This window comes from Homo sapiens, chromosome 7 (assembly GCF_000001405.40).
Source record: "Homo sapiens chromosome 7, GRCh38.p14 Primary Assembly".
NCBI classification, from domain to species: Eukaryota; Metazoa; Chordata; class Mammalia; order Primates; family Hominidae; genus Homo; species Homo sapiens.
The window spans coordinates 141907331-141922080 of record NC_000007.14 but is presented as its reverse complement, the minus strand read 5'-3'; the positions used below and the strand labels follow the sequence as shown (position 1 = coordinate 141922080).

General features: G+C 40.3%; 1 protein-coding gene and 1 pseudogene across 1 annotated transcript, besides 1 other annotated feature; both read right to left on the bottom strand.

Moving 5' to 3' along the window:
• Nucleotides 1-1455: 1455 nt before the first annotated feature.
• OR9A4 (olfactory receptor family 9 subfamily A member 4) lies at nt 1456-5682 on the bottom strand. Its single transcript, NM_001001656.3, has 2 exons — nt 5445-5682; nt 1456-3235 (listed from the first exon to the last, which is right to left on the bottom strand). The coding sequence occupies exon 2, from the start codon at nt 3203-3205 to the stop codon at nt 2261-2263; it is 945 nt and encodes a 314-aa protein (NP_001001656.1). The 5' UTR covers nt 3206-3235; nt 5445-5682; the 3' UTR covers nt 1456-2260.
• Nucleotides 6625-6825: a silencer, noted in NCBI's record as "peak6800 fragment used in MPRA reporter construct". NCBI's record gives its function as "represses an SCP1 promoter by STARR-seq MPRAs in K562 erythroleukemia cells {active_cell/tissue: K562}" and the evidence as "EXISTENCE:reporter gene assay evidence [ECO:0000049][PMID:32103011]".
• On the bottom strand, nt 10059-10679 carry OR9N1P (olfactory receptor family 9 subfamily N member 1 pseudogene; annotated as a pseudogene).

Here is a 14750-nt window from a genome sequence, read left to right as displayed (position 1 = left end):
TAACCAAAACAGCATGGTACTGGTACCAAAACAGAGATATAGATCAATGGAACAGAACAGAGCCCTCAGAAATAATGCCGCATATCTACAACTATCTGATCTTTGACAAACCTGAGAAAAACAAGCAATGGGGAAAGGATTCCCTATTTAATAAATGGTGCTGGGAAAACTGGCTAGCCATATGTAGAAAGCTGAAACTGGATCCCTTCCTTACACCTTATACAAAAATCAATTCAAGATGGATTAAAGATTTAAACGTTAAACCTAAAACCATAAAAACCCTAGAAGAAAACCTAGGCATTACCATTCAGGACATAGGCGTGGGCAAGGACTTCATGTCCAAAACACCAAAAGCAATGGCAACAAAAGACAAAATTGACAAATGGGATCTAATTAAACTAAAGAGCTTCTGCACAGCAAAAGAAACTACCATCAGAGTGAACAGGCAACCTACAACATGGGAGAAAATTTTTGCAACCTACTCATCTGACAAAGGGCTAATATCCAGAATCTACAATGAACTCAAACAAATTTACAAGAAAAAAACAAACAACCCCATCAAAAAGTGGGCGAAGGACATGAACAGACACTTCTCAAAAGAAGACATTTATGCAGCCAAAAAACACATGAAGAAATGCTCATCATCACTGGCCATCAGAGAAATGCAAATCAAAACCACTATGAGATATCATCTCACACCAGTTAGAATGGCAATCATTAAAAAGTCAGGAAACAACAGGTGCTGGAGAGGATGCGGAGAAATAGGAACACTTTTACACTGTTGGTGGGACTGTAAACTAGTTCAACCATTGTGGAAGTCAGTGTGGCGATTCCTCAGGGATCTAGAACTAGAAATACCATTTGACCCAGCCATCCCATTACTGGGTATATACCCAAATGAGTATAAATCATGCTGCTATAAAGACACATGCACACGTATGTTTATTGCGGCACTATTCACAATAGCAAAGACTTGGAACCAACCCAAATGTCCAACAATGATAGACTGGATTAAGAAAATGTGGCACATATACACCATGGAATACTATGCAGCCATAAAAAATGATGAGTTCATATCCTTTGTAGGGACATGGATGAAATTGGAAACCATCATTCTCAGTAAACTATCGCAAGAACAAAAAACCAAACACCGCATATTCTCACTCATAGGTGGGAATTGAACAATGAGATCACATGGACACAGGAAGGGGAATATCACACTCTGGGGACTGTGGTGGGGTCGGGGAAGGGGGGAGGGATAGCATTGGGAGATATACCTAATGCTAGATGACACATTAGTGGGTGCAGCGCACCAGCATGGCACATGTATACATATGTAACTAACCTGCACAATGTGCACATGTACCCTAAAACTTAGAGTATAATAAAAAAAAAAAAAAGAAAAAAAAAAAAGAAAAAAATAGTAAAATAATATTATCTTTTTGCATACCTGGAAAAAAAAAAAGGCTCACAAGGCTCTACATGGTCTGCATTCCAGTTACCACTCTGACTGCCATTGCTTTCTCCTCTGCACACTCCATTTCAGCATCTTTGTTATGCCTTCCCTAGGATCTCTCACTTATTACTCACTATGCCTGGAATGTTCTTTAACAAGTTTCCGAATGTATCACCACCTTACCTCTCTCAATCCTTCCCTGAAAACCTTATTTGAAATTTCAACACTCCTGCAAGAGATATTCCCTTTCATTCCTGTTTCACTTTTCTTCACAATACTTCTTCATGATCTAATATACTATTTTCAAAAGCTTTATTGAAATATAAATCACATTCCATAAAGTTGACTCATTGAAAATGTATAGTTCAATGATTTTTGGTATATTCATAGATATTTACAACCATCATTTCAAAAAGAAAGCCTGTACCCCATAGCTATCACTACCCTATGTCTGCATTCCCCTCAGCCCTAAGCAACCACTAGTCTATTTTCTAGACTATATAGATAGTCTATCTCTGACATTTAATTTTTCAAAGTTTAATTGTGAAATCATCATATCTTAAGAAAGGCAGATGATAGATAGATAGCTAGATAGCAAGACATGTCTTAAAAATAATAGACTGAGTTTCAAGTAACAACTAAGCATACTAAAAACCGTAGCTGTAACTTAAAAGTATTTTGTTGCATGCAAATCATTTGATAATGGCAATAATTATGATGCAGTTCAAAGATGAGCAAGTTCTTTTCAGATTATTCTAGAATCCATACTAAGTGCTTTACCATGTAAAAGTCCTCAGAGCAAGGCTAATTCCTGAATAGTTGACAGCAGCGTTTCACCCCATCCCGAAGGGCCTCTATGACTTTATCATTCCGGAGGGTGAAGATGAAAGGATTGAGGAAAGGAGTTACTACTGAAACCATCAGGGAAACTACCCAATTGTAATCAGCTGCCTGCGTTTGCTTGGGTTTCACGTAGAGAAACAAGCAGCTGCCGTAGCCAATCACAACACAGGTGAAGTGGGAGGCACAAGTGGAGAAGGATTTCCTCCGGCCAGAGGATGACGGGATCTTGAGAATGGTGGAGATGATGTAGGCGTTGGAGACAATTGTAGGGATCAAAGAACCAAAGAGAACAAAAACAGCCATTAAGAAGAGGATAAACTCCGTGAAAAGAGTATTATTGCAGGATAGTTTGAGCAATTGCCCTCGGTCACAAAAAAAATTGTTCACCACATTTGATTTGCAGTAAGTAAGCTGAAACATGACATAGACCGGCCAGATTTGAAAAAGAAACCCAAACACCCATGACACAAGAACCACAAAGTTGCAGGTGTGTCTGTTCATAATGATGTTGTACCTCAGAGGGTTACAGACAGCCACATAACGGTCCACAGCCATTGCTCCAAGTAATGCGAACTCTGTTGTCCCCACAGCAAGGTACAAGAAGAGCTGGACAACACAGGCAGACAAATATATTGTCTGCATCCCAGGGAGCAGCAATCCCCAAAGCATCACGGGGACGATTATGGTTGTGACCAGGATCTCCAGGGCAGAGAGGTGGCCGAGGAAGAAATACATGGGGGACTGCAGACGTTTATCCACACAGACAATCATGATGATGACTGTGTTTCCCATTAATGTCACCAAGTAGAAAAAGAAGAATATAGCAAAAAGGATATGATGTAGTTCTTCAGAGCCAGGGAAGCCAAGGAGATAAAATTCAGTGGCACTAGAGTAATTCATCAACATTTAGTTCTAAGCCCTTGTTCCTTGTGAAATCTAGAGAGCAAAAGAGAGAGAACAACCGCTTATCCTAAAAAGATTAAGGACATTTCAGGTTGAAAAAACATTCCTCTCCTGCTCCTCAACTCCATAACCTGACTCTACTATTTTCTACACGATGTTGATGTCAAATACTTCATGAAGAATATATATCTTTTGAAGATAAATGTATATGTTCAAGAAGATGAAATCCAGTTATGAATACCAAATGGTAAACATGAAAACCCACCCACCCTAGTATGCACTCTTTCTCAATACACTGGACATCTGCCTCCAACTCTGCTCTCACCGGCCACCCTGTCTGCTTCCATGATCACAATGTGTTCACTTACACCAGCACCTCTATCATCTTGGGTGGAACTAAATTGCCTTCTCTGCCTATTATGTCTCCATCTTGCAAATCCTAATGCATCTAAACAATTATAAGAAAGTATTCCTGGCTGGGTGCGGTGGCTCACGCTTGTAATCCCAATACTTTGTGAGGCCAAGGCAGGCGGATCACCAGGTCAGGAGTTTGAGACCAGCTTGACCAACATGGTGAAACCTCGTCTCTACTAAAAATACAAAAATTAGCTGGGCATGTTGGTGCGCGCCTGTAATCCCAGCTACTCAGGAGGCTGAGGCAGGAGAATTGCTTGAGCTGAGATCGCACCACTGCACTCCAGCCTGGGCAACAGAGTGAGACTCCGTCTCAAAAAATAAATAAATAAAGTATTCCTAGCCAATCTCACACAGGCATGGTTACTTTTTTCTTCTGTATCCTCTAAACACAGGCTCCATTTGCATTATGTTCATTTAAAAGTTTTCACTTCAGTTATATTTACCATTTTGGGGGGTGATGTCGGGAAGTGAGGTCTATCCAGGACATTGTCACAAGGTAAGAGCCATTTTAAGACAAAGTATTGAGTTTTTCCCTGACCTCTGGGATACCAGCTCCCTTGAGTGGATTACCCACTTCTTCCTCTTTTATTTTTATAATGAAAGCCATCCCCACCTCTTATCTAAGTGACTGTGTCTCCCCCACGCAGACAGAGTCTGATCAGCTCCCAGTTAACAATTTCTAGCTCTGAGATTTTGATTCCTCTTGTTATGAGATGACAAAGAGGAGGAGGAGAAGTCCAGGAGTGAAGAGGCTGGAACTTTAATTCTCAACTCCCAACACAGCCTCCACCCTAGGGCCAGGAGACAAGAAAACAGCTGTGGTGTGGAGGTAACTTATCCTCTGCATCTCCCAGTTCTCAACACCCCAGTTTCAGCAGAGAGACAAGACCTCCCAATGGGAAGTCTGTGCCTGCATCCAACTTGCCATGGTCTCAGTCTGTTAGAGCAGCTTGGAAGGTCCACAGAGCAGATCTGCTCCTCCGTGACCACCTGTTTTCTCCAGAGTCCTGGGGCAACAAAAAGTGTCAGAAGACACCAAAATGGATCACTCTGAACTCCTTAGAATGTCTGGACTCCTTCCCTTACCACATTCAGGTATTTGCTCAAATGTTTCCTCTTTATGGGCCCCTTCCCACTCAGCTTCTCTAAAACAATACAGGCACACCTTCCTCTCAAACCTGTGTTAGGCTACATTTTTCATACTAATTATCCTCACCAATATCTCCAGTCACATTATACTATTACTTGTTTATTAATTTATCATCAAAATCCAATATTTAATTAAATACTTCATAGGTAGGTCATTTCTCTTTCTCGTTCACTTCATCTCTCTTGTATTACCAGTGCCAAGAACAGAGTCTGACACTAGAACAGAGTATGCACTCTGTATTTTAAATGAATATATCAATGAATAGATTAAAGAAAAAAAATCAGTGAATGAACAAGGACTATACAGCCTGACTCTTCTCTCCATTCATTCTTCTCTGAAGCAACATAAAGTCAACCTGCAATCTCTCTCCCTGGAGCTCCCCTACTATGTGGCAGGCAGATATATGGAAGGAATGGGGAGAAATGAGAGAGCAGGGACTTGGGTAGTGGCAGAGCATTGTGCCTCTCGCCAGCATAGGGCAGAGAAGAAATGATTCTGCCCTCTGCTCTGGAGACAGGCTTTGCTGTAGAGCTCATCCTCTATGCAACTCCCACTGTCCAGTCTTCAGGCTCTAGGTATCCTTGTTCTAGGAGGCAGCCAAGCCCCGGCCCTCCCATCATGATGCTCTCCTACTGTCTACTTCACAGAAAGGAACCCCCTCTGGAAGACACTCACCTCCGGAGAAGCAGCCTGGACTGGAAAGTTCTACTGCTCCCCAGGGACCAGCCCAGGCTATCTCTCGCTCACCTAGTGCTGAGCTATGCTCAGGAGACAGGAACAGCTGCTTCTGTCTCCATTCAGAGTGAAGGATACTGTCCTCATACAGAAGCTTATGCAAAAGTCCAGAAATACGAGTGCTGAGGAGAGAGTCCAACTGTCTCTATCTCTCTCCTTCTCTTTGCTTCCTTCTCTCACTCCCTTATCTGTCTCCAAGGATGAGTATTCACTGAGGAACAATTTGTACAAGTTCAGAGACACACCAGGGATGCTGTCAAGGAAAAGCTGCCAAAAACATTCACCCTTCCCTCCTGAGGTTAATCAAGTTTTAGAACACCGAAAAGTTGTCTAATGGGCAAACTTGAAATCTCCCTCATGAGGAACCTCTCAACACTCCAGGTTGCCTTCCTTCAGGCTCTGAGTTATCACCATGCAACCCAGGCTGTGAATGGTTAGCCCCCTGAACTGCTCCATGCCTCTCCCTGATTCCACGTGGCCCTGTGGAGCCTAAGCTCCCCGCTCGCCATGATGGCCCCACTAGTGACTCCTAGGCACAGAGCAAAATTCTAGAGGCCACCAAATGGAATTTTATCAAAAATTTTCTCTTCATTTCCAAGTATTATGAAGCACGTGTTTCCAGATGATCTCTGCACTCCTATCAGAAATCCTCTGCCCATAGTTATGGGAACCCTGCTAAGTGAGTAATAGACAGGGTCTGCCACCTGCTTCAACCTCATGGACTGTTCATGCTACACCCATTCCACTGTTTGCAACATGCAGACATTCCAACTGTGGCTTCTCAGTCATGGGAACTGTGCTGACAGCTGCCCAGGTGGCTGTGCTGAGTCATGTTATGACAGGTGGAGAACTGTGAAGGAAGGGTGCTGAGAAATGAGGAAGTCCGAGGAGGATGGAACCTTTGTCTGAGAAAGCAAATTACAGATCCAAATTCCCTAAGTCAAGGCATGGTTCGGTTTCTCCAGACATGTTTCCAGGGTTATTAACTATACAGTGGCAGAGTAGAAAATGGAGCAGTAGGAAGGAATGTAAAATAATAAAAACCCCTGGGAAAACATTGGTTTCTTATTAACTTAAATATACATCTACTCTGTGACCTACCAATTCTATTTCTAGGCAGTTGCCTAATACAAATGAAAACATGTCCTCACAAATATTTCTGTTATCATGTTCATTGTATATTTATTATAGCTACTAATGACAGAAAATAAATGCCCATCAACAAGATAATTTGATATTCATATGAGGAAATACTATTCAGCAATGATTCACTACTTGCTAATTCAGTGATCCCAGCGACTTTATAAGACATAACTAACCCCAGTAATGAGAGTCAACTACGTATTTATATAAGGGAATAATGGTCAGGAAAAAAGTAACAAAGTACTGATGTATACAACATAAACAAATTTCAGATACATTACACTGCATAAAATAATCTGACACCAAAATATGCTTAATGTATGGTCCTAATGTAACATGCTCTAGAATGGACAAAATCCATAAAAGAAATCCCAGGCAATTCTTGGAAGGAAATTGACTGGGAAGGATTATGAGATAATTCTTGGCTATACTATCCCTTTTTAAATTGCTGCAATATATTTGGTCCACTTTTCATTTAGGCCTCTATGTTAATGAGAGATATTGGTCTGTGGTTTTCCTTTCTTGTAAGGTCCTTGTCAGGTTTGAGCTATCATAAATGAATGGAAAAATAAGCCCTCTTTTCCTATTTTATGGGAAAAAAACATTTGCATTATTTCCTCCTAAATCGTTTGGCAAAGTTCATCATTGAGAACATTTAGGCCAGGAGTTTTATTTGTGAGAAAGTTTTTAATTACGGGTTCCATGTATTTAATAGCTATGTGACTATTCAGAATTTCTACTTCAGTTTGTGTCCATTTTGAAGAATTGTGTTCAAGAGAATTGCTTAGTTCATCTAAATTGTTGGGTTTATTGGCATAAAGTTGCTCATACTCATTTTCATGCTTTCAAGGTTCACTGTCTCTGTTATGATATCCCTTGTTCCCATTTCTGATATTGTTACTTTGTGTGCTTTTGCTTCCTTATTATTCTTGCTAGGGATTTATCCATTTTATTAATTTTTTCAGAGACTTTACTTTGGCTTTGTTGATTTTTTTTCTATTTCTTTTCTGGTTTATATTTTAAGTTCACAAGTCATTTTTTCCTGTGTATGTCTTCAAGTGGCATTCTTTTCATAAGAATATCAGTCATATGCTTAGGAGCCCACCCTACTCCATTATGACCTCATACTACCTAATAACACCTGCAACAACCTTATTTCCAAATAAGTTCACATTCTAAGGTACTGTGGGTTAAGTCTACAAGGGATGAATTTAGAGGCACAAAAATCCGACCATAATGGACATCTTGATTGCCTCTGACTTGGGACGATTATGAATAGAGCTGCTATAAATATTCACGTAGTAGTTTTTGTGTGGAGATTAATTTTCAACTCATTTGGGTATATATCAAGGAGAACTATTACTGGATTGTGTGCTAAAATTTGTAAGAAAGTACCAAACTTTTGGAAGTACCAAACTGTCTTCCAACGTGGCTGTACCATGTCGCATTCCCACCAGCAATGACTGAGAGTTCCTGTTGGTCCACATCCTCACCAGCATCTGGTGTTTTGGATTTTAGCCACTTACTAGGTGTGCAGTGGTGTCTTGTTGTTATTTTATTTTATTTTATTTTATTTTATTTTATTTTATTTTTATTTTATCTTATTTTATTTTATTTTATTTTATTTTATTTTATTTTATTTTATTTTATTTTATTTTATTTTAGATGGCGTCTCACCCTGTTACCCAGGCTGTAGTGCAGTGGCATTATCTCGGCTCCCTGCAACCTCCACCTCCACCCCCAGGATTCTAGCGATTCTCCTGCCTCAGGCTACCTAGTAGCTGGGATTACAGGCACCCACCACCATGCCAGGGTGTGTGTGTGTGTGTGTGTGTGTGTGTGTGTGTGTGTGTGTGTGTGTGTGTGTATGTTTTTAGTAGAGGTGGGGTTTTGCCATGTTGGCTAGGCTGGTCTCGAACTCCTGACCTCAGGTGATCAACCTGCCTTGGCTTCCCAAAGTGCTAGGATTATGGGCATGAGCCACCATGCCTGGCCTCATTGTTGTTTTAATTTCCAATTCCCTGATGATATATGATGTGGAACATCTTTTCACATGCTTATTTGTCATCTATACATGTTCTTTAGTGATCTATTCAGATATTTCCCCATTTTTGTAACCAAGTAGTTTCTTGTTGAGTTTTGAGGTTTTTGTATATTTGTGATACATGTTCTGTAATGTGTATGTGTTTTGCAAGTATTTTCTTCCAAACTGTGTCTCTTCTTCTCATTCTCTTAAGTCTTTCTTTCACATATTGTGCTTTTGGTATTGTAGCTAAAAAGTCACTACAAAAGCCAAGGTCACCTAGGTTTTTCTATGTTTTGTTTTAGAGTTGTAAAGCTTTACATTTCACATTTAGGTTTATGATCCAAGTAGAGTTAATTTTTTGCCAAAGGTATAAAGTCTGTGTCTAAATTTTGTTTGTCTGTTTGGTTTGGATTTCCAGTCATTCCAGCAACATTTGTCGAAAAGATTATCCTTTCTCATTGGATTGCCTTTCTTCTTTTATTAAAGATTCGTTGACTATATTTGTGTGGGTCTATTTCTGGGCTCTCTGTTATGCTTCATTGATCTAATTCTCTATTCTTTTGCCCAAAACATACTGTCTTGCTTACGGTAGATTTTTAAATTTTTAACAGCTTTATTGAGGAATGGTTGATATAGAGAAAACTGCACACATTTAAAGTAAACAATTTGATGAACTTGGAAATAAGTGTACATCTATGAACCCATCACCACAATTAAGGTAATAAACCTATTCATCACTTTTTTTTTTTTTCTGAGATGGAGTCTCTCTTTGTCACCTAGGCTGGAGTGCAGTGGCATGATCTCCACTCACTGCAACCTCTGCCTCCCAGGTTCAAGTGATTCTCGTGCCTCAGCCTCTGGAATAGCTGGGATTATAGGCGCACGCCACCATGCCTGGCTAATTTTTGTATTTTTAGTAGAGATAGGGTTGGCCAGGCTGGTCTTGAACTCTTGGCCTCAAGTGATCCGCCTGCCTCGACCTCCCAAAGTGCTGGGATTACAGGCGTGAGCCACTGAACCCGGCCCTATTAATCATTTTTAAGGAGTTATTCCTGCCCCTTTATTGTTACTGTTGTTGTTGTTGTTTATTGCGGTAAGAAGACTTACCATGAAATCTACCCCTCTTAACAAATTTTTAAGTGCACAATACAGTATTGTTAACTATAGGCACAATGTTATACATCAGATCTCTAGAAGCTACTCTCTTGTATTATTAAAACTTTATACCCATTGAACAGCAACTCCCCATTTTTCCCTGGAAAAACCATTCTATTTTCTGCTCTTATGAGTTGGACTATTTTAGGTACCTTACATTTGTGGGATATTGTCCTTCTGTTTATTTCACTTAGCATGTCCTCTAGGTTCATCCTTGTTGTCAAATATGGCAAGATATCCCTCTTTTTAAGGCAGTTTCAGCTTTCAGCTCTTGCATTTAAGTTTTTAATTCATTTTGAGTTGATTTGAAGGGAGCTGAAATGTGGCATAGACTGACCAGATTTCAGAAAGGAACCCAATCAATAATACAATTACCAGCCAGATGCAGTGTGTCTGCTCATAATGATGTTTTACTTCAAAGAGTTACAGAGAGCCACATAATGGTTCACAGTCATCACTCCCAGTAATGCAAATTTTGTGTACCCCCAAAAAAGTTCATATAGAGTTGGACAGCACATGTCATTAAAGGTATTGTTTGAATCATGGAAAGTAACAACCCCTGAGCATCAAGGGAACAGCAGTATATGTGATAAGGATTTCCATGACAGAGAGGTCACCATAGAATAAATATAGGAGGAACAGCAGGCATTTCTCAACACATACTATGATGATTACATAATTTCTTATTACAATCACTGACAAAGGAAGAAGGTAACAAATGGCATACTTACTGGGAGCCAGGGAAGCCTAAGAGACAAAATTCAGTAACACCACTGTGACTCCCACATATTTAGTCCTGAGGATTTGCTCCTTGTGAAATGGAAAGAGCCAAAAAAAAAAAAAAATGAGACTGCTTCTGATCACAAAAGGACTAAAGACATTTCCAGATTGAGAAAATATTCCCCTCCGGCTTCTAGGCTCCACACCATGACTCTATACAAGGTTGATGTTAAATGTTTTATGAAGAATAGATAGGTAGGTAGAATGGTAGATAAATGTATATGTCCAAGAAGATAAGCACTGGTCACCAACACTGCACCACAGGCATGAAAACCCATCCACCCCAGCACGCACTGTTGTCTCTCAATTCACTGGACATCTCAGCTCCAACTCTGCTCTGACCAGATACCCTAAGTACTTCCTTGATCACAACCTGCTCATTTATGTCTTCCATCCTGAATGGAACTAAACTGTCTTCTCTACCTATTATGTCCGTGTCATACAAAAACCTACTGCATCTCAACAGTTATACAAAAGTATTTTTAGCAAATCCTACTTAGATGTGGTTACTTCTTTCCTTTGTTTCCTCTGAGTGTGAGTGATATTGTTTGGCTTTGTCCCCACCCAAAAATCTCATCTTGAATTGAAATCCCCATAATCCCCATGTATCAAGGGCAGGACTAGGTGCAGGTAATTGGATCATGAGGGCAGGTTTCTCCCATGCTGTTCTCATGATAGTGAGTGAGTCTTATGACATCTCATGGTTTTAAAAGCATCTGGCATTCCCTCTGCTTGCACTCACTCTGTCCTGCCACCCTGTGAAGAAGGTCCTTGCTTCTCCTTTGCCTTCCACCATGATTGTAAGTTTCCTGAGACCCCCCCCCGCCCCAGCAATGCAGAACCCTGAGTTGATTAAACCTCTTCCCTTAATAAATTACCAAGTCTTGGGTATTTCTTCATAGCAGTGTAAGAACAGACTAATACAGTAGGCTACATTTGCATTCTGCTTGTTCAAGTTTTCACTTCAGTTATCTTTATAATCATTTCTTTGTATTGGTAGAACTGGCTGACTTGGAGGTAGGGTCTAACCTGCCCATTGTCAGAAAGTAAGAGCAATTTTGTGACACAGTATTGAGTCTTTCCCTGACTTCTGGTGTGCTGGCTTGCGGGAGTAGATTGCCCACTTCTTTCTTTCTGTTTTATGATGAAAGTTATACCCCACCTTTTAACTAAGTGAATGTGTCTCCTTCAAGCAGGCAGAGTATGGCCAGCTCCAAATTAGCAACCTCTGGCTCTGAGAGTTATTCCTCTTGTCATCAGATGATACAGAGGAGGAGAAATCCAGAAGGAGTGAAAAGGCTGGAATTTTAATTCCCAACTCCCAATGTGACCTCCACCCTGGGTCCAGGAGACAAGAAAACAGCTATGGTTTAGAGGCAATATATCCTCTACCTTATTCTAAAATTATATTAAACTTTTCCTTGTTTATTCATTTGAAATCTGAATCTTACATTAGAATAAAATACCTTGAGAAAAGATCGCCTCTTTTTTTTTTTATTGTCACATCTTCAGTTCCAAGAACAGAATAAGACACTGAGCCAGTGAGTACACTTTAAATATTTATGCGATGAATAAATAAATGAATGAATAAACAGAGTAGTCATCCTGACCAGATTCTCTTTCCTGTTGTAAGATGTGACTCTCCATTCACTCTTCACTAAAGTATTGCCCAGTCAAAAAGATAAGTCTCTCTTTGTGGAGCTCCCCTACAATATGGCAAGCAGATATGAAGAAGAAATAGGGCTAAAAGAGAGGGCAGAGACTTAGGTAGTGGCAGAGCACTGTGCCTCTCTTCATCATGGGGCAGAGAAGAGATGAATCTGCCCTCTGCCCTGGAGGGAGGATTTGATTCAGAGCTCATCCTCTATGCAACTCCCCTGTCTACTCTTCAGGCTCTAGGTATCCTTGTTCTAGAAGGCAGCCAAGCCTCAGCCCTCCTATCATGATGGTCTCCTACTCTCTACTTCACAGAGAGGAACCTCTAGAAGACACTCACCTCCAGAGAAGGGGAAAGGCTTGGAAAGTTCTACTGCTCCCCAGGGACCAGCCCAAGCTACCTTCTGCCTGGCTAGTGCTGAGCAGTCTCCATGAGCTACAACAAGATGCTGCTGTCTTTACTCTTAGTGATAGTGAAAACTGTCCCCACACTGCCCCTAGGAAAAGGTCCAGTAATAATGCTGTGGAAAGCCCAATTGTCTCCTTCTTTCTTTTTCTCTCCTTCTTTACCTCCCGAATCTGTCCCCTGGAGAATTTATTCACTAACGGAATGTTTCCAGGTTCAAAGCAATCCCAGCAACACAGTGAAGAGAAAGCCAGAGAAACTTTTCACCTTTCCTTCCCAAGGCTAATCACATTTTAGAACATGAAAAAGTTGGTATAATGGGAAAATCTGAAATCTCCCAGACAAAAGTTTCTCAACACCCAGGTTGCCCTCCTCCCAGGCCTTAAGTCTTGGATGTTACTAAGCACTCCAGGCTGTGAATAGCCAATACCTTGCTCTCCTCTATGCCCCTCCCTGACTCCATTTAGCCCTACAGAGCCTAAGCAGCCCCAAGCAGAGGACATGACAAATGGCTCCAAGACACATCAAAAACTAAGGGGCAATCAAATAGCCTTTGCCAAAAATGTTATCCTTATCTCCAAGACCTTATAGATCCCATCTTCTCCAGATGATCTCTGAACTCCTGCCACTAGATACCCTCTGCCAATAGTTAAGGGAACCCTGCTTAGAGAGAAACAAAGAGAGGATCTGCCACACAAACCAACCTCACAGTCAACCAATGCCACAGCCCATTCCAGTCTCTCCAGCATGCATACATTCCAACTGTGGCTGTTCAACCATTTCTCCTCCAGGTCTTCATATGCTAGCAGGGTTCCTCCCTGAGCTACTTGAAGGGTAGGCGTAAAGGCTGAAGAGCCGACATTTGAGAAACGCAAATTAAAAACTACTATATAAAAGCAAAGATGGCTTGCAAACTCAGTAAAATAGCAAAATAACATTTAAAATATTTATGTTTACATTTTAAAAATGACTTTCATTTATCATAAAAATAGCACAGTTCATGTGAAAAGTAAAATTTTGTGAAGGAATATAAAACAAAAATGCAAATGCCTCTCTCACCAATGCCTGATCTTGCTGATCCATCTGCTAGAGCTAAACACTACTATTAGTTTCTAGTACATCCATACAGAAATTGTCTATGCATATACATGAGTATCTTTTATGGTCTTTTAAAAACTTGATATTTTAGTAAAATATTGGCCTGCAACTTTCTTTTTGTTATATGTGTATATGTGTGTGTTTATTAAGCCTTCCCATATTAGCATTTATATATCCCTCATATTTTAAATGATTACTAAATATTCACCTTATGAAAAAACTATCATTTACTTAATGAGTACCCTGCTAACAAATATTTTGTGTTTTCAATTTTTTACCAGCATAATGCTGCAATAAATACCTTCACATGTAAGCCCATACATTTTTACACTTGTATCTTGCTAAATTATTATACTAAATTTTACTAGCTGTTATCAAATCACCTTCCAAAAAGTTGTACCAATCAATTTATGATCTCTTGAAATAAGATTATGTTGAGCTTACCCACACAGCCTCCTGCAAGAAGTGGGTGGGAAGTTTTTATTTCCCAGTGTTAACCCAGTGCAGGTTCAGAAATGACACTAATGGATGAGGAGTCAGTAATCACATTGTGAGGTAAGGACACAACCCAGCGGTCCTCATCCCCATGGGAACAATGCTGACAGCTGCCCAGGGAGTCTTGGCCTTGGAGCAGCAGTGTTGGTTGTGTAATGACTGCTGGAGTAAGGAAGGCCCCTGGTGAATGAGGAAATCCAAGAAGGATGGAACCTTTCTCTGAGAACCCTTACTGCAGAAACAACTTACCTCATTCAGGGCATGGTTCCATTTCTTTAGATATCCTCCATGTTTTGCTTAATGCCACATTGGCCCAGTAAAGATTTCAGAAGTAGAGGGGAGTATAACACAGTAAAACTCATTTGAAAAGAGTTTTGTCAGTTTCTTGAAAGTATACACCTCCCTATAATGGAAAAATTCCACTCCCAAGTATTTTACTGAGAGAAATGAAAACACATGTCCTCATAAAGACTTGTATTAGAAGGTT